Source organism: Homo sapiens, chromosome 16 (genome assembly GCF_000001405.40).
Source record: "Homo sapiens chromosome 16, GRCh38.p14 Primary Assembly".
Taxonomy (NCBI): Eukaryota; Metazoa; Chordata; class Mammalia; order Primates; family Hominidae; genus Homo; species Homo sapiens.
Genome location: NC_000016.10, coordinates 3842494 through 3868302, shown reverse-complemented (window position 1 = coordinate 3868302; position 25809 = coordinate 3842494). Strand labels below are relative to the sequence as shown.

General features: G+C 43.1%; 1 protein-coding gene across 9 annotated transcripts in view, besides 1 other annotated feature; it reads left to right on the top strand.

Annotated features, from left to right (window-relative positions):
* The window catches only part of CREBBP (CREB binding lysine acetyltransferase), a 155660-nt gene that overhangs the window by 12411 nt on the left and 117440 nt on the right, over positions 1–25809 (top strand). For all 9 annotated transcript variants that reach the window (XM_047433625.1, XM_047433624.1, XM_005255124.5 and 6 more), the window contains exon 2: positions 17294–18006. In XM_047433625.1, coding sequence (XP_047289581.1) covers positions 17294–18006 — 713 coding nt within the window. The remainder of the gene's footprint in view (positions 1–17293; positions 18007–25809) is intronic.
* Positions 8232–8416: a silencer, noted in NCBI's record as "fragment chr16:3909888-3910072 (GRCh37/hg19 assembly coordinates)". NCBI's record gives its function as "represses an EF-1alpha promoter that drives an FKBP-Casp9 reporter gene in an ReSE screen in K562 erythroleukemia cells {active_cell/tissue: K562}" and the evidence as "EXISTENCE:reporter gene assay evidence [ECO:0000049][PMID:32094911]".

Genomic DNA, 25809 nt, shown 5'->3' with positions numbered 1-25809 from the left:
TAAATTTTTGTACAAACAATTTTCTTTTAAAAGTTTTTTTAAGTTCTTGTGAGTAGATAATATATTCATATGGTTCAGAATTCCAAAAAAGCAGAGTAATTGGTGAAAACTCTTCCTCCTGTCTGTTTCTGGGGTCACTGGTCATTCCCCTCCCCATAGGCAACCAGTGTTAGCTGTTTCTTACGTATTCTAGAGATGGACTGTGCGTAGCCAGGCAAATATGGTCTCTTCTTACTCTTTTTGCCCTAAGTAGCCCATTTTATGTAACTCTACTATCAGTGCCTTTCAGACTGATACATATCTCAGAGCTGTTGGAAATGTTAGTATTAGAAATGCAGGCTTTGTTCTATTTTTTTAAATTTATTTTTATTTATTTTGAGACAGGGTCTCACTCTGTCCGCCAGGCTGGTGTGCATTTATTTGATCACAGCTCACTGCAATGTCCACCTTCTGGGCTCAAGCAATCCCACCTCAGCCTCCCAAGTAGCTAGGATGACAGGTGCATGCCACTATGCCTGGCTAATTTTTTTTTTTTTTTTTTTTTTAGTAGAGATACGGGGTCTTCCTATGTTGCCTAGGCTGGTCTTGAGCTCCTGGGCTCAAGCAGTCCTTCAACCTCAGCCTCCCAAAGTTTAGGGATTACAGATGTGAGCCACTATGCTCGGCCCAGGCTTTCTTTTAATTAATTAAGTCTTCTTTTTTAACGGTAAAATGTTTTGGTGCTGCATTTAGATAAATAACACAAAACAATTTTAATGTTTTCTCTATGTTATATAAATAGGAATAATTGAAGTTTTCTTGTTTTTTGTTTGAGACGGAGTCTTGCTCTGTCACTTAAGCTGAAGTGCAGTGGTGAGATTATAGCTCACTCTAGCCTCAAACTCCTGGGCTCAAGCCATCCTCCCACTTCAGCCTCCGCAGTAGCTTGGACTACAGGCACGCACCACCATGCCCAGATAATTTTTTATTATTTTTGTAGAGACAGGGTCTTGCTATGTTGCCTAGGCTTAAAGTTTTTTTAAAATTAATTCCATGTCATCTCAAAGAATATTAGAGGTTTTGCTACTGTCATCAAAATGCATGTCATGCAGCCAGCTCACACAGAAGTTGTGTTTATTGTTTCTCAATTCCTGGAATAGATTCTTAAAACTTCTGGTTTTTATTACCCACCTTAATAGTTGAAATAGAAATATCTGTAGGTTAGCAACCTACTTCAACACCAAGCAGATAAAGTTTCTTGATGGGTAGGACTTCTAAGAACATTTTCATTAACTCCAGACCTTTTCGTTAATTTAGTTAATTAATGTAGAGATTGTAAAACACTGAGTATGACTCAGAAATCCTTTAGAAAAGAAAGGGTAAAATCAGTGAAGTTCCTTCAGAAGAGTAGCTGAGTTCCCTGGCATTGCAGATCCAGTTGAGGGAGAGTGATGGGTACTTAGGAGGGGAGAAAAGACTGAGAATCAATAAACAAAGGATGGAGAGCAAAAATGATAATTAGATCTCTTTTAGGGGTAGAAAGATATGCTAATGGTGTATGTAGGAAATTTCTAGAAGGGAATCTCTAGAAATTGTTTTTCGGGGTTGAGCTAGAGATGTTTTGGGGGCTGTTTTTCATTTTATATTCTGAGGGTTTTTTTTCAAACAAAGCAAAAAACCATAAATGTATTTACTTTCATAGTGAAAAAAGAAAAACTAGTTAAAAAAATTCAAAACAAAACATTTTGGGGGTATATATGTTTTTGTATTGTTTTATTTTTATATTTGTGATTAAGAGAATCTGTTAAATGGTGAGAAGCAAAGTTTTAGTTAATTCCTGTTGCAAAACCTTTAGACCTCTAATGAGAATTATTTGAACAAAGTACAAATTACCCCTAAGAGGCGCCATCCAGAGATAGGAAAATGGATTGTGTTTTAGTGTGGCGTCTGATCATCACTTGCTTTGTCACAAGCTCCATTTTTAACATCATCTTTATATTAGAGGTTTCTTCATTGATTTGCTAGAAGCCACAAGACATGACAGCCAACTAATTTTTGAGTATTTTGAAATAATGTCAGATTTCCCTGTGTGAGCGTTGGGTACAAAATGTTACATGTCGATTGTCACATCCCTTTAGAAAAAAATACTTTCGAAAAGTTCTTCTTTAAAGTGCCCTTTTCTTTTCTAGCCTTTTAAGCTTATTTGTACACTAAATATATTTTGAACTAATAGTGAACCCATTTCACATTTTATCCTCAAATCATAAGGACCCTAACTGGAAACTGGAGCACTGGGAACCATTCCAGGTGTTACCACCTGGTGCTGAAGTTAATCACCTGGGCCAGTATATCCCCAGTGGGGGTGCCTTAAAAAAAAATCAGTTTCTTGGCCGGGCGCGGTGGGCTCACGCCTGTAATCCCTGCACTTTGGAAGGCTGAGTTGATGGATCATGAGGTCAGGATATCGAGACCGTCCTGGCCAACATGGTGAAACCCCGTCTCTACTAAAATACAAAAATTAGCCGGGTGTGATGGCGTGCACCTGTAGTCCCAGCCACTCAGGAGGCTGAGGCAGGAGAATTGCTTGAACCCAGAAGGTGGAGGTTGCAGTGAGCTGAGGTCGCGCCACTACATTCCAGCCTGGGCGACAGATCAAGACTCCATCTCAAAAAAAAAAAAAATTAGTTCCTTTAATTACTTAAACTAGTAGTTCATTCACATGGCTCAGAAAACTCAGAGGACAAAACCTGTAGAGAGAGCCTCCCTCCACCTAGCTCCTCCCAGGTAACCACTGGAAGTAGTGCTGTCTTCCAGGGTTTATCTGTATTCAGGCAGACGCTGTTGACTCTTAGTTCTCTCTTCCCCCTTCCTGCCTTTTTCTTCTTAACTGAGGTAGCATAGTGTACACACAGCTGCATACGTTTATTGTCTTCTTACAGTTGTCTACCATTCCATTATGTGACCTGTGCCATAATTGCTTTAATCCTCTCCCCACTGGTGGACATTTAGGTTATTTCCAGTCTTGTCTTCTCACAAACAGTGCTTTAATGAATAGCCTTGTAAAGTTATGCGGACAGGCAAATCTATGGAACAGATTCATAGAAATAGAATTAGTGGTTAAAAGGCATATGCATTTATAGTTTTGATCATAGCAAATTTTCCTTCAAGAGCCTGTGTGTTGGTAGAGTCTTAAAATGTGAAAGGCAGCACATATATTCTCCAGGTATACATTGCTAGATGTGTTGCAGATATTCTTTTTTTTTTTGAGACAGAGTCTTGCTTTGTCGCCCAGGCTGGAGTGCATTGGCACGATCTTGGCTCACTGCAGCCTCCACCTCTCAGATTCAAGTGATTCTGGTGCCTCAGCCTCCTGGGATTACAGGCATGCACTACCATGCCCCGCTAATTTTTGTATTTTTAGTAAAGGAGGGGTTTTGCCATGTTGGCCAGGCTGGCCTCGAACGCCTGACCTCAGGTGACCTGCCTGCCTTGGCCTCCCACAGTGCTGGGATTACAGGTGTGAACCACCATGCCCAGCCACGGATATTCTTTATCAGCATAGTCTATGATGAGTAACACTAAGGTTGTTCTTCAGCTTGTGATTCTCCATCATGTTGTGCTTCTCAGTTGTTTCTGAATTCTCTCATTTTATGGTGTACCTTTTTATTATTATTTTGAGTCAGGGTCTCACTCTGTCACCCAGGATGGAGTGCAGTGACGTGATCTTGACTCACTGTAGCCTCCATCTCCTGGGCTCAAGCAGTCCTCCCACCTCAGCCTCCTGAGCAGCTAGGACTATGGGCATGTGCCACCATGCCTGGCTAATTTTTGTACTTTTTTTTGTAGAGACCGGGTTTCGCTATGTTGCCCAGGCTGGTCTTGAACTACTGGACCCAAGCAGTCCCCCTGCCTCGGCTTCCCAAAGTGCCAGGATTATAGGTGTGAGCCAACATACCTGGTACTGGCATACTTTTTGGACTTAAGGCATTCATTTTCTGTTTGTGGCTCTCAAATAGCCCACACGCCTCCACGCGTTGTACATGGACTGGCACTTCCAAGTCTGCTTTCACGTCTGGAATATGCTCTTTCCCCCTTTCTTGACTTCTTGTTGCCGCCTGCCAGCTACATCTCACAGCATTTGGGGCAAAGGACCTGGTCTCTGGATGTCTGTTTGCTTGTTCTTACAATATGGCTGGGGAATCTGAGGTGGCTGGGAATCTGGGGTCTGGGGCTGCTTCTGCAAAGGCTAGCTCCTAGCTCAGCCCCCACATTCTTCTTCCTCCAGGACTGTTCTTGGCTGGAGAATCCTCTCCCTGTAAGCAGGGTGGATAGGCAGCTGACTGTAGCACCTCTCCGGGGTCTGGTGCCCCTCTCAGCTGTGGTGGTGGTAAACAACCCGTTTTTGCTCCCCTGTCCCAGATGATTGGGCTAACGTGCAGGGGCTGCTGGGTCATTACTGTGTTCTGGTGGCAGCTGGCTGCTATGACAGGCACCTTCCATTCCACCCTTGTCCCCACCCTTCAGGGCTGAGGGAAGCAGCACGCAAACCATGTTGAGGAAACTAACGTTGTCTTGGCTGTCTGGGAATGGCACTTCCCTGTGACTGCTAAGTGCACCAAATAAAAATAGACTTGGCTGCATTTCCAGGACAGTTTAGGGTCCCAGGTGACAAAGAACTTTGAATAAGGACTGTCTAGGGTTTTTTGTTTTTGTTTTTGTTTTGAGACAGAATCTTGCTCTGTCACCCAGGCTGGAGTGCAGTGGCGCGATCTCGGCTCACGGTAGCCTCTGCCTCCCGAGTTCAGCAATTCTCCGGTGTCACCCTCCTAGGTAGCTAGGATTACAGGCACCCACCACCACGCTCAGCTAATTTTTGTATTTTTAGTAGAGATGAGGTTTCACCATGTTGGCCAGACGGGTCTTGATCTCCTGACCTCAGGTGATCTTCCTGCCTGGGCTTCCTAAAATACTGGAATTACAGGCATGAGCTACTGTGCCTGGCCCTGTCTTGCTTGGGTTTTTTAAATGGAAGGTAAATAGTAATCATTCAGCGAAGCAGGATGTTTTTTGATACCTGATACAGAGTACAGCCATCAAGTGCATTTGAGAATGAATAAAAAAGCTAAAATTTTATAATCAATTATGCAAAAGTAGATTTTACCTTTTCCAGGTAGCACTCTTGAATATTGTATTAAGTGCATTTTGATAAATCAGTATTTCCCTTCTGATTCACATTACAGTTTCTAAGGTTCTGTAATTTTTATTGCAGTTAGTTTAACCTGATACCATAGCTTGATTTATTTCCCCTTAATTCAAACTTTGAAGTTCATCATGTTTCCATGTTAAATGAACTTACTAAGCACATTTCCGTGTAAAAGAGTCCCCCTGGATGGACCCTTCTGTGACATGAAGAATATTTGTCCTGTAATTTAGCTTTCAAATAAGAGGCAAACTCTGAGCAGAACTTCAGAGGGAAAGGACACTGAGAAAAGACAGTTCCAAAGAGGCAGGGACGGAAGACAGCAAGGCAGGCAGGCAAAGCTGGCTGCTCTGCCGTGGGGAGCTTCAAGGGAAAAACTTCAAGATGGCAGGAGCCCCTCGGTAGGTACGAATTCGATACAGTGGGAAGGGCGTCACTTTGGTAGGTATGTGGATCTGATACAGTAGGAAGAACCCCACTAGAATGTCGTATATGAAGAATGGACTTCTTGGGGAAGGTCGTTGTTAATGTCCACTTAAATATCGTTCATCATACAAAACACAGCATATGACAGGAAAACAAGAAAACCCAAATTCTAAGCTCTAGTATAAATGTAAGTGCTGTGTTGAGGGTTTTAAGACAATTCGGTTTATTAAACCCAAATTTAATAACCCGAGATTGTGTCACTGCACTCCAGCCTGGGCGACAGAGCAAGCCTGCCTACCGTAGTGAGGCCCTTCCCACCGTATGGAACTTGTACCTACCCTGGGGCTCCTGCCATCTTGGAGCTTTTCCCTTGAAGTTCCCCACAGCAGAGCAGCCATCTCTGCCTGCCTGTCTTGCTGTCTTCTGTCCCTGCCTCTTTGGAGTTGTCAGTGTCCTTTTCCTCTAAACTTCTGCTCAGAGCCTCTTATTTGAAGCCTTTCCTACTTTTGTTCACTGCCTTATTCCACTTGGCTGTAAAATATGACATACGTGTTAATTTAAGTTTGTGGCTTGGTGTCCATTGGCTGTCTTCCTCAATTAGAGTACAGTCCTCTGGGGAGGCCGACTTCTATTCTATCTCAAACCCAGCCGGTCCTGCACCGAGTGAGGGCCCCTGAGCAGTGACTCGCTTCCTTCTCCTGGGGAGGAGAGGGTGGGGGCTGCCGGCCGAGCTCTCTGGCTCTTCAGCAGATCAGTGATTCTGAGGAGGGGCAAGACTTACTCAAGATAAGATCACTGTTCAGAATGAAGTACAACCTCATTGTTCTGTTCTAATTAGGGATTGGTGTGTCTGCATAAAAGAAGCCTGAATTACGGAAGATTTTAGAAGGAGGTTGCTTTAATTATTTCCTAATAGTCATTGTAAAAAAAAAAAAAAAAGTTAGATGTCTTTTGGGAACTTGTTTAAATGCCTAGATAAAAATTACTTACGATGGCATAAATATTAATAAAACAGCTTTTCTCTTTCTTTTTTTTTTTTTTTTTTGGTATAGAGAGTTGTTCCATTATATTTATTTGCATAATCCCCAAGAACTTTCAAAGCAAAGTAACCTTTAATTCTACTAGAATTGCCACAGATCAGCAGGGATGAGTTTATTAGCAAGTCACTACCATTGATAAGTGGCGGCTGTTGAGCGCCTGCTCTGTACCAACCCTGGAGTGCCAGGTTCTTAAAGGCTTTGGCTGGTTCAGCCCTCATAGGTGCCTTGGGAGATGGGATTGGGACAGTGATAGTAATGACTAATATTTTTTGAGTCCTTACTGCATGCCAAGCTCAGTGCTAAATGCTGTATGGTTTAATTCTTTCATCAACGATCCTGCGAAGCAGGTGCTACTGTCCTTTATTTTATTTTATTTATTTATTTTTTTGGGACAGAGTTTTGCCCTTGTTGCCCAGGCTGGAGTGCAATGGCGCGATCTCGGCTCACTGCAACCTCCCAGTGATTCTCCTGCCTCAGCTTCCCGAGTAGCTGGGGTTATAGGCACCTGCCACCACGCCCAGCTAATTTTTTGTAATTTTCAGTATTTTTAGTAGAGACAGGGTTTCACCATGTTGGCTAGGCTGGTTTCGAACTCCTGACCATAGGTGACCCACCTGTCTGCCTCCCAAAGTGCTGGGATTACAGGCATGAGCCACTGCACCCAGCTGTCCTTCCATTTTAGAGCTAAGGAGGGGTACACAGGGAGGCAGTAGCTGTGGTGACAGCTGTGATCTGAACCAGGGCTTGGTTGAGTACTCTTCTCACTACACCAGACTGCACTTCCTGTGTCCGTAGTGTCTAATTAGTAATAGATCAGTAAACACACCGAGAGCGTAGTGTGGCCTCCAGGTCATTTAACAATAATAATAACAACACTGTGAATCCTTCCACCACTCTCTAGATTCCTCATCTCTAGGAGTGAACTTTTCCAGGATGCTTTGCCCTTGCTGGATCAAGTTTTTTGTATGTAGTTTTTTTCCTTCAAATTTTGTTTTAATTAACAAATAAAAATTGTATGTATTTATCATATACAACATGATGTTTTGAAATATCTATACATTGTGGATTGGCTAAATTGAGCCAATTAACATGTGCATTACCTCTTCCTGTGTCCGTTAACTTAGAAATTAAAAATTCTTTTTGGAGCCACAGTGGCACATGCCAGCAGTCTTGGCTACTTGGGAGGCTGAGGCAGGAGGATTGCTTGAGTCCAGGAGTTTAGGAGTTTGAGGCTACAGTGAGCCATGATCACACTTGTGAATGGCCACTGCACTCCAGCCTGGGCAACACAGACCCCATCTCTTAAAAAAAATTCCTTTTGGAAGTTTTTCGAGGGTAGGTAAATAGGTGAATAAAAATGTTTAGCTTTTGAAAGATTTAATAGAAGCATTTGAGTAGTCAGGGCTATAGTACAAGTCTGAGGATGTAGGGAAAAATCAGGTTTCTCCTATACTCCTTTATTCCTATACTCAGTGTCAACAGTCGACACAGAACACCTCTGGGACCAGATTTGTGGAGATGCCCCCAGCCACACACACACACCGAGTAGGCACTCGGTGCTGCAGCAGACGCCAGCTGACAGGCAGATGGTGTCAGATCCCACGGTTGAGGGCTCAGTCCTCAAGACTGCCCCCGCCCCCCACCATTTGCAAGCCCCAAGTTGTTTTACCTGTGCTTCTGACTGGCTATAAATGGGGTTCCCACAAGCCCCTCCTTGGGTTCAATTAATTTACTAGAGCGGTTGACAGAGCTCAAGGAAACATGTTTACTGGTTTTTTATTGTAAAGGATATTATGAAGGATACCACTGAATATCAGGTGATAGGGCAAGGCGTGTGAGAGGGCCATGTAGCCTTTTTGCCCCGTCCAGGTGTGCCACTCTTCAGGAACCTCCATGTGTTCAGCTATCTGGAAGCTCTCTGAACCCTGTACTTGTGAGTTTTTATGGAGGCTTCATTACATAGGCATGATTGATTAAACCATTGGCCGTTGGTGATCAACTTAAGCTTTAGTATCTCTCCCTTCCCTGGAAATTAAGGATGGGCTGAAAGTCCCAGTCCTCTAATCAGTCATGCCTTGGTCTTCCTGGTGACCAGCTCCTGTCCGAAGCTACCTAGGAGCTGCCAGCCATCAGTCAATTCGTGAGCATACGAAAAGACATTACTGGTTGGGTGTGGTGGCTCACACCTATAATCCCAGCAATTTGTGAGGCCGAGGCGGATGGATCACCTGAGGTTGGGAGTTCTAGACCATTCTGGCCAACATGGTGAAACCCCGTCTCTGCTGAAAATACAAAAAATTAGCCGGGTGTGGTGGTATGCGCCTGTAATCCCAGCTACTTGGGAGGCTGAGGCAGAAGAATTGTTTGAATCCGGGAAGTAGAGGCTGCAGTGAGCCAAGATCGTGCCACTGCACTCTAGCCTAGGCGACAGAGCCAAAAAAAAATAAAAATAAAAAAATAAAAAATAAAAATTCTATTTTGGAGATTCCAAGGATTTTAGGAGTTGTATGCCAGGAGACAGGGTGGAAGACCAAATACATAGTCACAGTATTACAAAAGTAATGCAAAAGACAATCTAAAGAAACCATGAAAAAAAAATCTAAAGAAAGGAGACCTTTTTCACAGGAAATAGGGATGTGAGAGAGAAATTAGGAGTGGGTGAGGAAGAGAAAATATGTGTGGGAGGGAAAGCAGAGAAGTATGAACACATCACAAAACAGCATCTGAACTCTTACATGCTTATTTCTTACACTACTGTTGCTCATCCTACATTATGCCATTTAATCTGTGTATCAATTCTAGGGTTGGGGTTCATTGATGCTGAGTTTGTAGCCAAAGAGTGAAATATACTTGGGTGGTCCCCTAAAAGGTAAAGAGGGCAATAGGAAAAAGTCTTAAAGAGAAAGATGACCCAGTGTAATATTTCTAGAGAATTCGTTATTGTTTCTGTTTTCAGAAAGTAGTAGTAAACATTAAGATTACTGCTTTATATCTTTGACTAGACAAGCAGCTTGTTGATACTGTGTATCCTCTATAATGTGAGCACTCATTCAGCACGTGGGTTTATTGAGTGCCTAGTACATACGAAGCATTTTATGCTAGGCACTGAGTAGATAAGCAAGACAGGATCCCTGCTTTCAGGGAGCTTACAGCCCCACGCACGTTATAACGTGAAATTGTTAGCATAATTTTAACGCATTGTGTCTGTAGGAGCATAAAAGAGTTCTTATTTCCAGGAGAAGGTGTGATAGACCAGTCCTGTCAGTACAAATAATCTGGGGCTCCAAGTGGAATTCAAAGAAGAAAATAAGGTATTATGGAAGAGGAGGCTGTAGAAAACCTGAAGAAAGGTGTGTTTTGTGGATACTTTGGCTGATGGCTTTGAAATTTTTTTCAGATGAGGCTGTTTTCAAATGTTATTGGCTGCACAGATTGATTTAGCCACCCACCTGGTGTTTGATTCTAGTAGTTCATTCCTTGCTTAAGGTGAAATGCTGATTTCTGATCATCATTATTAAGAATGGATCCTGGAACAGATGTAGGTACCATTTGTCTTTCAGTGTTTAGGAGTGATCCCCACCTAACAGTCTGCATGCAGACCACCGGCTTGGGTTTCCTAGTATAGAAGTGAATGTCCTCTGTACCTTGCTTGGTAAACAGTTGCCTTTCCTGAGGCTGGCTGAGTTTGGCTGTAACTTTCTCCTTCCTAAGTCCCTACTATTTTCCTCATTCCTCACTGGGTCTTCCCAGCCTCGTATGAGTGTGATAGAAATGGGGAAATGTGTAGCCTCTCTTTTCTCTCATTTCAGCTTAATGAAAGGGGTAGCCTCCTGGTTGGCAGCCAGGAAGCTGCAAAAGGGAAAATTCCTTTCCCTAGCTATGGAAGTATGACAGGCAGTGTTCGCTATTTGATATCGGCTGGTGAAGTTTCCTTGAGGTGCAAATGCTCTGGGTGCAGGGTGCCCACAGTCTCCTTTTCTTTGCATTCTCCCGGGCCCCCTGGTAACGGTCAGAGAGAAGAGGGCTTACCTGGGACTGGATCGCTGTCAATCGTGAACCTTAGGAACTTCCGATGATACAGATTGCTCTTGCTTAACCCATGTGTTGGGACACTTTGGTGTGTAGAAAGCAAAGCTGTGTTGTGTTGCAATATCCTGGCCTGCCTCCTTCACTCCCCTTTGTCAGTTTTGCTGAACTAGGGAATATGGAAATGTGGTGACAGTGGTAAACAGAAGGGTGATGGTACGACTACGTGTGCGCCCTATCTTGCCTTTTAAAAAGCCACACCTGTATATTTGGTTTTACACATATTCATATGGTGAATTACAGAAGAAGAATTTGTCTAACTCTGCCTTCACCCAAACAGCTGGTATATGTATTTGGACTGAAATAGGATGAAAAAGTGGTCACGGTGGTCAGAGTGTAGCAGACCAGTGAAAAACAAAAACACTAGCCCAGGACATAAGCCCTGCTTACAACTTTGAAACTTGCCTGTGAATTTGATAAGAACTAGAATAAACCATAAATGAAAACTGATAGCTCTGAGAGTGGCAGGATGATGGGTGAAGTTTTTAACTCTGGGGCGTTGGTACCCTTGTTTTACAGGTGAGGGTATGAAGATGCAGAGATGAAGCAGTTTGCCTAAGGATGCAGGATTTCAACTCCTGTGCTCAGCTTCCAGCTGTTCTGTTCCCATTGTTCTACACTGAGGCCAGCCCTGCCCTGGGTTTCACTAAGTACTCTCTGAGTTTATCTGCTCTTCTGTGGCCTGGCCTCCCTCTCCTAGGAAGAGTGCTTAGGGATGTTCAAAATAGCCAGTTAGGTCGCCTTTTGCAGATTTTTCCAAACTTAAATATAAAATATTTGGCCCTTGTTTGCTTCTGGGTTACAGTGCTTGACACGGTCTCTTCATCCTCGCCCTGGACAGAAAGGAAGGAGAGCTGATCTCTAATGGTAATGGCTCCAGTTCCTGGTTTAGATGAAGTTTCATTTTCATGCTCATCAGTTAAGGAACACTGCATTTTTAAAAGTAGTTATTTTGGGCTGCAGTGGCTCATGCCTGTAATCCCAGTGCTTTGGGAGACTGAAGTAGGAGTATTTCTTGAGGCCAGGAGTTTGAGACCAGCCTGGGCAACATAGCAAGACCCCATCTCTACAAAAAAAAATTTTTTTAATTAGCTGGCAAGCCTGGGAAACATGGCGAAACCCTGTCTCTCCAAAACAGTACAAAAATCAGGTGGGTGTTTTGGTGCAGGGCGGAAGCTGCATTGAGCCTGCAACTTCACTGCACTCCAGCCTGGGTGCCGGAGCAAGACCCTGTCAAAATAATTATTTAATTAATTCATTAATTAAAAATAAAATAAAAAATGAGCTGTTTGTGGTGGGGCACACCTGTGGTCCCAGCTATAGGGGGCTGAAGCGGGAGAATTGGTTGAGTCCAGGAGTTTGAGGATACAGTGAGCTGTGATTGTGCCATTGCACAGAGGTGACAGAGCAAGACCCTATCTCTAAAACATAAAATAAAAAATAAAATGTTGTTATTTGGGGGGGTACATATTTTCTTTTTTCCTTTTATTTGTAGTTGACATGTGATTGTATATATTAAGGGGTTACAGAATATTTTGTAACATGCATGCAATGCATAATGAGCAAATCATAGTAATTAGGATATCTACCACCTCAAACGTTTATCATTTGGGTTGGACAAAAATATTTATTAAGGAGTACCGAGTAAATTTGTGTGTGCAGGTGGACAAAGCCTGGAGGGCAACAAACAAAACAGTAGTTATGATAGAGAGGACTTTTTAATACATATTTAATAAATATTGTACAGTTTGTGTCTGGACACCTCAGTGAATCTCCAAATTTAGGATAGCAAAATAGCGTAAAAACTATGGATTGGAACCCTCAGAAGCATGTTGAGACCTATTTCACCAGGTACAGGCCCTGTGCCCTCATGGAACTGTCTGCTGTATCCGGGATCAGATTCCTTTCTCTTCAAAATGACATGCCCTGTAACCATGAGGAGGTACCCCAAATTGAAGGACCTTCTACAATAACAACTGGCCTCTATTCTTCAAAAATGTCAGTTATGGCCGGGTGCAATGGCTCACGCCTGTAATCCTAGCACTTTGGGAGGCTTAGGCGGGCGGATCACCTGAGGTCAGAAGTTCGAAACCAGCCTGGCCAACGTGGCGAAACCCCGTCTCTACTAAAAATACAAACGTTAGCCGGGTGCGGTGGTGCACGCCTGTAATCCCAGCTATTCTGGCTGAGGTTGGAGAATTGCTTGAACCCGGGAGGCAAAGGTTGCAGTGAGCCTGGATCGTGCCACTGCACTCCATCTAGCGTGGGCAACAGAGCAAGACTCTGTCTAATAAACAAATAAGAATAAAATGTCACTTACGAAAGACAAAGGCCAGGGAACCTTTGATCCTTTTTCGATTAAACAAGGTGACAAAGACATGACAATTAAATGCACCATGATCCTGAATTAGATCTTGGATCTTGTAATCTCATGGCTATAGGACATGTCATTTTGAAGAGACAGATGTGTGATAAAGATCATTATTGGGACAACCAGCAAAATTTGAGTAAGGGCAGTATATTCAGTATTGTATCAGTGTTACATTTCCTGAGTTGCACATGCATACTGTGATTATGTAAGAGGATGTTGTTAGGAGATACGTACTGAAGTACTTAGGAGAACAGTGTTATTTCGTCTGCAACTTACTCTCAGTCTCGGTTTTTCTTCAAAAACTGTTACATGCATGTACACACTCCTAAATCACATCTCATTCCTTACAGACAGGTGGGAAGATAACAAGTGTGTGTTAGACGTGGTTTTCTAGACTGACAAGAGGGACTGGTCTGTTCTGCAGGGGCAGCCCAAAGAAAGTCTTCATAGTTGCTGTGTTTAATCTGAGTGGGAACTGAGGTGAGTTTTAGAATGAGAGATTCAAGAAGAAAGATTCCCAATGCCTGTGCCAGCTCTCAGTGTTGTGGCTGGAAAGTAGGGGGCATCTGGTGTTGTCCTGTAAAGGAAGGCCAAGAAGATAGCCTCACGTGCCATGAGAAGGTGTTTGAACTTCTTCCATAGACATGATGGGTCTGTTAGGGTTAGGGTGAGGTTAAACTCCAGCTAAAATGGCTTAAGTGATAGTAAGTGTATTTTCTCACATAACATGAAGTTTGAAGGTGGGGAAGTACTAGGGTTGCATCACTCAGCAGTTCAGAGATGATCTCCCCACCCCAGGTGTTTATGTTTTTGGCTACAGCCATCCTTAGCATGCAAGTGGTGTCTGCTCTCCTGGCTACAGGGTGATTGTCACCTGCCCATGACGAGATCTGGTGAAGAAGAGGAGGGAGATTTCTTTCTGAGCATCCATTGCTGTGAGGAAGGAACACCTTTTCCACAATGGTCCTGGTTCAGTGTACCTTCAGATTCCCTTAGCTGAGATTGTGTCACTTGCAAAGGGGAACGTGATCGTGGTGGTGGGCTTATCTGGTTACTCTCCCTCCTGTGGCCAGGGAACGTTCCTCAGAGGAACCTCCCAGGCAGCCACTTCAGATCATGTGGGTGTTGCCAGCAGCATGGGGCCAGGGGTATTGGGTGAGCAGACATTAGGGTCTGCCACCATGCAGAAAAAAGGTTTTAATTTTCTTTTCTTTTTCGTGTGTGTGTGTGTGTGTGTGTTTGTTTGTTTGTTTGTTTGTTTTTGAGACGGAGTTTCGCTCTTGTTGCCCAGGCTGGAGTGCAATGGCGATATCTCAGTTCACTGCAACTTCCACCTCCCAGGTTCAAGCGACTCTCCTGCCTCAGCCTCTCGAGTAGCTGCAATTACAGGCGCCTGCCACCACGCCCAGCTCATTTTTGTGTTTTTAGTAGAGATAGGGCTTCGCCATATTAGCCAGGCTGGTCTTGAACTCCTGACCTCAGATCGTCTGCCTGCCTTGGCCTCCCAAAGTGCTGGGATTACAGGCATGAGCTACCGTGCCTGGCCGATGTATGGTGTTTTTTGTTTGTTTGTTTTTTTGAGATGGAGTCTCACTCTGTTTCCCAGGCTGTCATCCAGGCTGGAGTGCAGTGGCGCAATCTTGGCTCACTGCAAGCTCTGCCTCCTGGGTTCACGCCATTCTCCTGCCTCAGCCTCCAGAGTAGCTGGGACTACAGGTGCCTGCCACCACACCTGGCTGATTTTTTATATTTTTAGTAGAGACAGGGTTTCACCGTGTTAGCCAGGATGGTCTCAATCTCCTGACCTCGTGATCCGCCTACCTTGGCCTCCCAAAGTGCTGGGATTACAGGCGTGAGCCACCGCACCCGGCCTGATGTTTTAAAGTATTATACAGCCGCTTATTAAACCTCCTGTTATGGATAGCAGTAATAATAATAGACAGTACTTAGCATTTACCACCCATAGGCACTGTTTGTTCTCAGTCGTGTTTTACACTTACTTATTCATTTGGTCCTCACAACAGCGTTATGAGGTGTAGGGGCCATTGTTACCCCTAGTTTCCAGATGAGGAAACTGAGGCAAAGAAAGGCTGAGTAACCTACCAAGGTCACATCACTAATGAATAGGGAGCTGGAGGCAGAGCTGGTGTCCAGTGTGGGCAGCCCCAGTATAGAGTCTGTAACCACTAGGAAAAACTGCCTCTGGGTATTTTTTGTGCTTTTTTTTTTTTTTTGGATGCTACAGATAATACTAAGATGAACATATTTCTACATACTTCTTCCTTGCACATACATGAATAGCCTGGCCGTTGTGGGTTAGAGTGCGTGGGAAATGAGAGGGTAGAGATGACATGTGTAGACCACGCTTCAGAGAAAAGTTACTTTGAAAGGGACCAGAAAAAGGGTTGTTTTAGTTCCCATTTGTTTCCTTATCAGGAAAGACGGATTATTTTGTTTAGTGTTTTATTTCCCTTTGGGGTGAAGACCTGCTTATGTCTTTTGTCCATTTATAGTCGGGAGTCACTGTGCTTCTCATCTTCCTGTATGATTGACATTTACCCCTTTCATATACTACAAATACTTTTAGGCTCTTATTTTTAACTCTTTGTAGTTTCTGTGTATGTCTTTATTATCATTTGCTGCAGCTTCAACACTTTTAAGAAATCACTGATTTCATTTTGCGTTAAAGCTAGTTTACTTCTTGTATTTTAACTTTTAAATAATGTAATCGGCCGGGCACGGTGGCTCACACCTGTAATCCCAGCACTTTGGGAGGCTGAGGCCTCCCATGGATCATGAGGTCAGGAGATCGAGACCATCCTGGCTAATACGGTGAAACCCCGTCTCTACTAAAAATACAAAAAATTAGCCGGGCATGGTGGTGGGCGCCTATAATCCCAGCTACTTGGGAGGCTGAGGCAGGACAGTGGCGTGAACCCGGGAGGCGGACCTTGCAGTGAGCCGAGATCACGCCACTGCACTCCATCCAGCCTGGGCCGCAGAGCGAGACTCTGTCTCAAAAAAAAAAAAAAAAAAAAAAAAACAAATTTAAGATTGGCTTTACTGTCCTCAAATTGCTGTTCATCTAAGTCAATGCCCAGTTACTTTGTTACACACATACATTCTTTTTTTTTTTTTTTTTTTTTTTTTTTTTTTTTTTTTTTTGAGATGGAGTCTCGCTGTTGCCCAGGTTGGAGTGCAGTGGCACGATCTCAGCTCACTGCAAGCTCCGCCTCCCAGGTTCACGCCATTCTCCTGCCTAAGCCTCCTGAGTAGCTGGGATTACAGGCGCCCGCCACCATGCCCGGCTAATGTTTTGTCTTTTTTTTTTTTTTTTTTTGAGACGGAGTCTCGCTCTGTCGCCCAGGTCGGACTGCGGACTGCAGTGGCGCAATCTCGGCTCACTGCAAGCTCCGCTTCCCGGGTTCACGCCATTCTCCTGCCTCAGCCTCCCGAGTAGCTGGGACTACAGGCGCCCGCCACCGCGCCCGGCTAATTTTTTGTCTTTTTACTAGAGACGGGGTTTCACCGTGTTAGCCAGGATGGTCTCGCTCTCCTGACCTCGTGATCCGCCTGCCTCAGCCTCCCAAAGTGCTGGGATTACAGGCTTGAGCCACCATGCCCGGCCACACATACATTCTTAAAAGCATTTTAAAATTATAATTCAGTGAATTTGGAGTCTTCCCATTGTTTTCTTTTAATTTGTATATCTGAGTTTGCCCTCAACACCACACTATTTAATTATTGTTTTAGAATATGATAAATATAGTAGGGCTGTCCTTCTCATCTCTGTTTAACTTTTCTGTCTTCAGAATTTGAAGGGTATTTTTTCTTTATTTTCCCAAACAAACTTGTAAATCATTTTGACATTACTCTTTTTTTTTTTTTTTTTTTAATTTTTTTTTTTTTTTTGAGACGGTGTTTCGGTCTTGTTGCCCAGGCTGGAGTGCAATGGCGTGATCTTGGCTCACCGCATCCTCCACCTCCCGGGTTCAAGCTATTCTCCTGCCTTAGCCTCCCGAGTAGCTGGGATTACAGGCATGCGCTACCACACCCAGCTAATGACATGACTCTTAAGACATGCTAGTGTTCGTGCTGAATGCCCCATTAGGTTAAGATCATAGAAACGTGGCAGTTGGAGAGCTGTAAAGGTTGCTTAGTTTCTCATTTCCATTTCTGTTTAATTTCTAGATTTTGGATCATTGTTTGACTTGGAAAATGATCTTCCTGATGAGCTGATACCCAATGGAGGAGAATTAGGCCTTTTAAACAGTGGGAACCTTGTTCCAGATGCTGCTTCCAAACATAAACAACTGTCGGAGCTTCTACGAGGAGGCAGCGGCTCTAGTATCAACCCAGGAATAGGAAATGTGAGCGCCAGCAGCCCCGTGCAGCAGGGCCTGGGTGGCCAGGCTCAAGGGCAGCCGAACAGTGCTAACATGGCCAGCCTCAGTGCCATGGGCAAGAGCCCTCTGAGCCAGGGAGATTCTTCAGCCCCCAGCCTGCCTAAACAGGCAGCCAGCACCTCTGGGCCCACCCCCGCTGCCTCCCAAGCACTGAATCCGCAAGCACAAAAGCAAGTGGGGCTGGCGACTAGCAGCCCTGCCACGTCACAGACTGGACCTGGTATCTGCATGAATGCTAACTTTAACCAGACCCACCCAGGCCTCCTCAATAGTAACTCTGGCCATAGCTTAATTAATCAGGCTTCACAAGGGCAGGCGCAAGTCATGAATGGATCTCTTGGGGCTGCTGGCAGAGGAAGGGGAGCTGGAATGCCGTACCCTACTCCAGCCATGCAGGGCGCCTCGAGCAGCGTGCTGGCTGAGACCCTAACGCAGGTTTCCCCGCAAATGACTGGTCACGCGGGACTGAACACCGCACAGGCAGGAGGCATGGCCAAGGTAAGTGAACTGAAGCACTTTCAATACTTCCTACCTAACCGCGGGCTTTCCCTCCGAGTAATGCGTAAAATGGGACCACGTGGCCCACTCCTGTTTTTCCTCTTGGGCTCTCCACGTGCCACTCATGCTTGGAAGAGACAGATTTCTTTCTAGGATAAAGATCTCTGCCCCATTTCTGTCTTTAAAATGAGAATTCTTAAAGAAGTAGGACAGCTTGCAGGTCAGGCAGTTGGAAAGTACAGGGCCTAATGTGTCCGTGAACCTGGTAGAGGTTGCTTTCTGCCTGTGTACTGCCCACTGAGGAGGTGATCACTGGTCTGTATGCTCCTCTGTGGCCATCCAGTGAAGTATCTGTTGGCACAGTATCCATTTCACTGAATGAGAAAGCTGTGTTCCAGGGTTGTCAGCTCACTCCCTGCTATGTTAACAAGGAAGAGGTGGCAGAGCCGGGGAGAAGCACAGGCATTCGGGTCCCAGAGGAAACACCAGTGCAGTGGTTCTTCAAGTGGGGTCCCCTGGACCAGCAGCAGCAGCAGCATCCCCTAGAAGCTTGTTAGAAATGCAGACTTCTTTATTGACTCAGAAGCTCGGCGTGGGGCCTGGGCTTTAAGAAGCCTCCAGATGGGTGCTGGACACAGTGACTCACGCCTGTGATCCCAGCACTTTGGGAGGCCAAGGTGGGTGGATAGCTCAACTCTAGGAGTTTGAGACCAGCCTGGGCAATGTGGCGAAACCCTGTCTCTTGGAAAAAAAAAAAAAAAAAAAAAAAAAGCAGCAGCCTCCAGGTGGCTCCAAGGTCACGCACATCACACACACACACACACACACACACACACACACACACACACACACACACACACACACACACACACACACACACACACACACACACACACACACACACACACACACACACACGGCCAAGAGCTCTGCTAGGGAAAGGCCTGGACTGGGATTTGCAGCCACCAGCCTTGCAGCTGCCTTCTAGAGTAGGAACTGGACTTGGAGAAGGGGGAAGGCAGATGCCTGGATAGATGTGAGACAGCTGGAAAAGCCCAGGACTGACAGGAGCACAGAGAAGGAAGGGCAGCCTATTCCCACTGAAGTGACAAACACTGTGGATGCTCTGCGGCCAGAGGCTTCTCAACAGCAGCCACCAGGCACGTCTTCAGGCAGTGGAATTCAGCACATCCCAGAACAGAAAATCAGTTTGGGCTGTTCTTTGGATTTGTTTAGTCCCAAGTAGGGGTGAGGGAGAATAAGAGTAGAACACAGTTTCCCCAGAAGGTTGATGAGAGCGTTGGGTGACGGATGCAAAACCCTGTGAATGTCGGAAACGAGAGGATTTTTTTTTAACTTAAGAAATGAAGATGAAGTAATGCTCAATGTTTAAATTGCATTTGTCTTTTTTGAAATGTTAGTAGAGAGGAACGTGAACTTAAGTTTTACTTGTACCTGGCATTTTAAGAAGAGTCTGTATGAGTGTGTCAATTGAGAAGGAATTTCTCATGGGTTTATGGTTCCTGGAGAGATTGATCCTTGTTCCTTTTCCCAGTTCATTCATCACTCTACTCCTTACTTTTAAAACTCTGTCTATTCTGGAGAGTTTAAATCATATGAAGTCGACATAATAGTATAAAGCAATGATTCCCAAACTTTTTTTTAATCTCAAGACTCCTGAATAATCTTAACAATTACTGAGGACCCCAAAGAGATTTCTTTAACATGTGCAGTATACCTCTCAATATTTACTATATTAAATAGTAAAACAGAATATTGAAACACATTTCATCATCCGTCCAGTGCAGTGGAATCACACATCACAAAGTAACTAGAAAACTAGATCTACTGTGTTCTTGGGAGAGAATCAGAGGGAAAAGGCAAATCATATCTTAGGATTTTATGGAAATAGTTTTGACATCATGGTCCCCCTGAAAGGTCTGGGACCCTGGACTGCACTTCAAGAGCTTTTGATAACATGTATGTAGAAGTTAGACTTTGTACACCTAAACACAAAGCCATTATCACATGTTAACAGATTTAACAGTAACTTCATGTCAGCCAGTATCCACAGAATAGTCACGTTTCCAGTGGTCTCATATGTTGTAATTTTTTTTTTTTTTTTCTGAGATGGAGTTTCACTGTTGCCCAGTGTCTGGAGTGCAGTGGCACCATCTGGGCTCACTGCAACCTCCGCCTCCTGGGTTCAAGTGATTGTCCTGCCTCAGCCTCCTGAGTAGCTGGGATTACAGGCGCGTGCCACTGCTCCCGGCTAACTTTTTATATTTTTATTAGAGACGGAGTTTCACCATGTTGGCCAAGCTGGTCTCGAACTCCTGACCTCAAGCGAGCCACCTGCCTCTGCCTCCCAAAATGCTGGGATTACAGGCGTGAGCCACCACGCCCGGCCTATAAGTAGTTTTTATAGATTTTTACTCAAAATCTACATTTCAGTTAGTTGATATGCCTCTTAAGAATCTGTTCTCTGTTGGTCTGTGGGATCCTTACAATTTACTGAAGAAACATGTTTTGGTTGTTGTCTGCTATTTATCCTGGAGAGTGTCTTCCAGAAGTTGGACTTTGCTGATTACACCTGTAACACTTCATGCTTCTCTGTCCACCCAGGCTTTTCATTCCATCCTGGGGTTCCTTTATACAGAGTGGTCTTTCTTTCCAACAGCAACTCGTGGATGTCACTGGAAAGTGAGCCTCGTTAGCGTGCTGGGGACAGTTGTCTCTTGTTTCCTATAGGTATCTCAAAGCAGCCCACTAGAGGTGGATAGAGTGCATTTTTTTAAAGATGTGTCGTTGCCTTTGGGTGGAATGAAAGACCAAGTAGTGGTGGGCAGAAAGTAAGAGGGAGAGACAAGTCCATTTTAAACCATTCCCTCTCTAGAACCTTACGATAGCAGAGCCAACTAGATTTTAAGATGCACAGGGAAAAGGCGCTTTTTTTAAGATAATTTTGTTTTAAGAACGATTACACAGGAAGTATATCCTATGAAATAATTAAAATAGTAGGAAAAGAGCAACATCCTCCTTACAGATAAAGATTTAAAATACATAATGAAACCAGACTACATAAGCACCTTACTGTTTTACTTGGCAGTGTACCTTAGATGGCCTCTGTGACACTGCACAGAGATTTTTTTTTCTTACTGATAGCAAAGTATTCCATTATATGATACATCATAATTTATTGATCTCATCCTCTGAGGATGAACATTTGGATTGTTTCTGACTTTTTGCTAGTGCAGCAATGCCTGTACACATGTGTCATGGATTAGATTCTGAAAAGGAGAATTAATGGGTCACAGACTTGTTTAAAGTTTGTTTTTAGAAAGTAAACATGCACATGGTTTAACGACAAACAACCATAAAAATACTCTTAAGAGTAAGAACCAGAGAGTTAATTCTTAATTCTTGAATTTTGGTTCTCCCAAATTCTCACCAAAGGCAACTATTATTTCTTATCTGTCCTGCCAGTGATGATGTATGCGTATAGAGGCGTAGAGAGAGGGGTGTGGGTATGTGTGTGCTATCTCCCCAGACATAAAGAGTAGCATTACACAGCGTTTTCTTGTGAGTGTAGATGTTCCCCTCCCCACCCACCACTTAACAATACAAGTTGGAAATTCTTCCATGCTCCGCGTAGCTGTCAGTCATTCTTCATAGGTACAATAGGAATTCCTGATTTGGGTATATCGTAATTTAAGGACTTGTGCCATGTAGGCTGAGCATTTAGGTTATTCCCAGTATTTTGCTGTTTTCACAGTTTTGCTTTGAACACATTGTACATATATCTTTGTACAGCTGAGTGACCATATCTGCTAGATAATTTATTGGACATGCAATTTCTGAATTAAAAGATACTGAGATTTTAAATCAGCATAGATAATCTCAGATACTCTTCAGAAATATTGTGCAAATTACACCTTCATCAAGAGTGATTGAGCCTCTGTCCAAATCTTGACCAACACTGAATATTACCATCCTTTTACTTACTTGACATTCTGTTAAGCAAGTTGTCTTCTTTGTTAAGTGTGTCTTTTCATAAGGTCATAGGCAGTTGTATTTTACTGATTGTTCATAATCTTTGTCCATTTGTCTCTTGAATTGTTTGTCATTTTTTCTCATTAATTTATATTCTTAAGTCTCTTAAAACATGTTTTTCCCCTTTGTTATTTGCCATAGTCTGTTTCACCAGGAATATGGTCACATAGGTTTACAATATGTTTTTACCAAGTATATGTTTTCAGTTTGTATAGAAACACATTTATCCATTTATTTCCTTTATGGCTTTTAGGTTTTATGTCACATTTTAGAAGTGCTTTTCCTATTAAAAAATTAAGAAATATTTTCCTGTATTTTTCTCCTTATTACATGACTTTTTTTTTTTTTTTTTTTTTTGAGATAGGGTCTCAGTTTGTTGCCCAGGCTAGAGTGCAGTAGCATGATCTCAGCTCACTGCAACCTCTGCCTCCTGGTCTCAGGTGATCCGCCTGCCTCAGCCTCCCCAGTAGCTGGGACTACAGGCGCGCATCACCACAACTGACTAATTTTTGTATTTTTTTGTGGAGACGGGGTTTTGCCATGTTGCCCAGGCTGGTCCTGAACTCCTGAGCTCAAGCGATCCACCCACCTCAGCCTCCCAAACTGCTGGGATTGCAGGCGTGAGCCACCGTGTCTGGCCTCCTTGAATCTTTAACTCAATTTATTTTGGCATAAGGAGTGAGACACAGAGATCCAGCAGTATATATTTTTTCTTGTTATAATCATCTTAGTACCATTTATTTAGTATTGGTAATCCATCTTTTCTCCCACTGATACGATATGCTGTTTTTGGTATACACTTTATTCTCTTTTCAAACATATAGGATTTGGGTCTAATTTCTGAACTCTTTTTCTTTAGTTCCATTGACCTTTGCTTGTTCCTGTGCCAGAAACCTATTAACCTAGCTGTGTGATGACTTTTAGTATATGACCTCACTAGTTATTTCTCACACAGGTGGTTCTCAACTCTGTCTACACTTTATCAGATTTATCTGGAGAATTTTTAAAAATATGATGCCTGAACCCCACTACAGAGCAATTGAGTTAGAATCTGGGGGATATGGTAGAAACATTCGTATAGTGTGTAGTTCCTCAGATGACTTTCATGGCAGCCAGGGTTGAGAACCCCACTGTGTTAGATAAATTTAGGACTTTTTTTCAAATTTTAAAAACAAAAAATCTTTGGGATTTTGGATTTATAAGATTCACTACAACTTTATAAGTCATTTTAGGAGGGATGTGACATTTTAACAGTTTTGTGACTTCCTGAGTCTTCTTATACATATAAATTATCTTTTCTGGGGGTCTTATGTTGCTTGGAAGCATAGTATGGTTTTCTTTATCTGTGTAATAAATCTTTCTTACTAAGTTTATTTCTGGAGGTATTACGTGGTTTTTGTTGCTGTTGGTGATGAGTTATATTTCATTATCTAACTGGCTATTTTAATATAGGAAAGATGTTATGTATACGCTACTCTGGTAATCTGGCTGCTTTATGGGGTTATCTTAATTATTCTAATACGTTTTCAGGAGATTCTCTTGAGTTTTCCAAGGAGATAGTCATCTTTTGCATTATTGATACTTTTATTTTCTCCTTGCCAATATTTTTTGCCAGTGTTTATGCTCTTAGGCATCCCTGTCTCGTATCCTACTTAAATGGAAGTGTATTTAGTGTTCTGTTATTAAGAATAATGTGAGCTTTGGTTTGTAGTCAGTAGTATATTTCTTTTAAAATTGGGGCATAATCTGTTCGTCATAAAATAAATGATAATATCTAAATGTTAGGTTTTATCAAATTTCTTTTTGATACCTACCTATGTTGATTAACCTGTGATTTTTCACTTTCCATTTATTTATGTGACAGATTATCTGTGTAGGTTTTATAATATCAAATTGAACCATCTCTGTAATTGTAAAATCAAAAGTTAATGCTGAGTTTTAATTGCTAGTGCTTCATTTAGAATTTTGTTTCTCATTTATCAGTGATGAAATTGATCCATAGCTCTTTTTGTGCTTTGTCAATTTTTATATCAGTGTTACGTTAACTTGGTCAAAAAGAGTTTGAAAGTCTTTTTTTTTTTTTTTTTTTTTTTTTTGAGACGGAGTCTCGCTCTGTCGCCCAGGCTGGAGTGCAGTGGCGGGATCTCGGCTCACTGCAAGCTCCGCCTCCCGGGTTCACGCCATTCTCCTGCCTCAGCCTCCCAAGTAGCTGGGACTACAGGCGCCCGCCACTACGCCCGGCTAATTTTTTGTATTTTTAGTAGAGACGGGGTTTCACCGTTTTAGCCGGGATGGTCTCGATCTCCTGACCTCGTGATCCGCCCGCCTCGGCCTCCCAAAGTGCTGGGATTACAGGCGTGAGCCACCGCGCCCGGCCGAAAGTCTTTCATATTTATTCTGTGAAACAGTTTAAATCGATTTGGAATTATCTATTACATGAAGAATTGAGAGACTTCACCCTTACAGTGATGTGGGCCTGAAGCCTTTTTTTCCCTAGGAAGTGACTGAAGATCTTTGACAATAGTGCCGGGCGTGGTGGCTCACACCTGTAATTCCAACACTTTAGGAGGCTGAGGTGGGAGGATTGCTTGAGCCCAGGAGTTCAAGACCAGCCTGTGAACATAGGGAGACCCTATCTTTAAAAAAAATTTAAGAATTAGCTGGTCATGGTGGCACATGTCTGTGGTCTCAGCTACTCAGGAGGCTGAAGCAGGTGGATTGCTTGAGCCCAGGAGTGCAAAGTTGCAGTGAGCCATGATCACACCACTACAATCAAGCATACCAACAGAGTGAGATTCTGACTCAAAAAAAAAAAAAAAATCTTTGACAACTTTATTGCTATTTTCTATAAATATTGGCTCTTTTAGGCTTTTAGTAGTCTCTTAGGTCAGTATCGTTTTTATTTAGTAAAGTCTAAATTTGCTTTGATTTTGAGAAAAACTAAAAGATACTTAACTTTTAATCTTTGTTTAAAAAAAGGATAGGAGGTAGGCAAGTCACATGTTACAGATTAAGAAGTGGAGGCTGCCAGTGAGTGGCAGAACCAGGCTTGCATCCACACGGTCTGGCCAGAGGCCTGTTAACACTAATGCAATGCAGCCTGTTCTTTCGTAAGTTTTACAGTTTCTGTTTTAGTAGAAAATTCTTTTCATCTAATCTTTAAAATTTGTTAACTTAAAGCTGTGCAAAAATGTGTGCAGTTCTTTGTCATTTTTGATGTTTGTGATTATTTCTCTTCTCATTCCTAATTTTTTTTTTTTTTTTTTTTTTTTTTTTGAGATGGGAGTTTCGCTCTTTTTGCCTAGGCTGGAATGCAGTGGCATGATCTCAGCTCACTGCAACCCCTGCCTCCCAGGTTCAAGCGATTCTCCTGCCTCAGCCTCCTGAGTATCTGGGATTACAGGCGCCCGCCACCACGCCCGGCTAATTTTTTGTATTTTTAGTAGAGACGGGGTTTCACCATGTTGGCCAGGCTGGTTTTGAACTCCTGACCTCAGGTGATCTGCCCACCTCAGCCTCCCAAAGTGCTGAGGTTACAGGCATGAGCCACCGTGCACTGCCATCTCATTTCTAATTTTATGTGACTCTGAAAATATTTACAGTAGGAAAAACATGACCCTTGTTGACAACATGGCAATATTAACAATACATGATATTACTATTTTTTTCTTTTGTTTACTTTTGTGATAGAAGGCATGATAAGAGTTTTTTAAAGAAAAAACAATTTCTTTATTTCAACAGTAGCAAAAC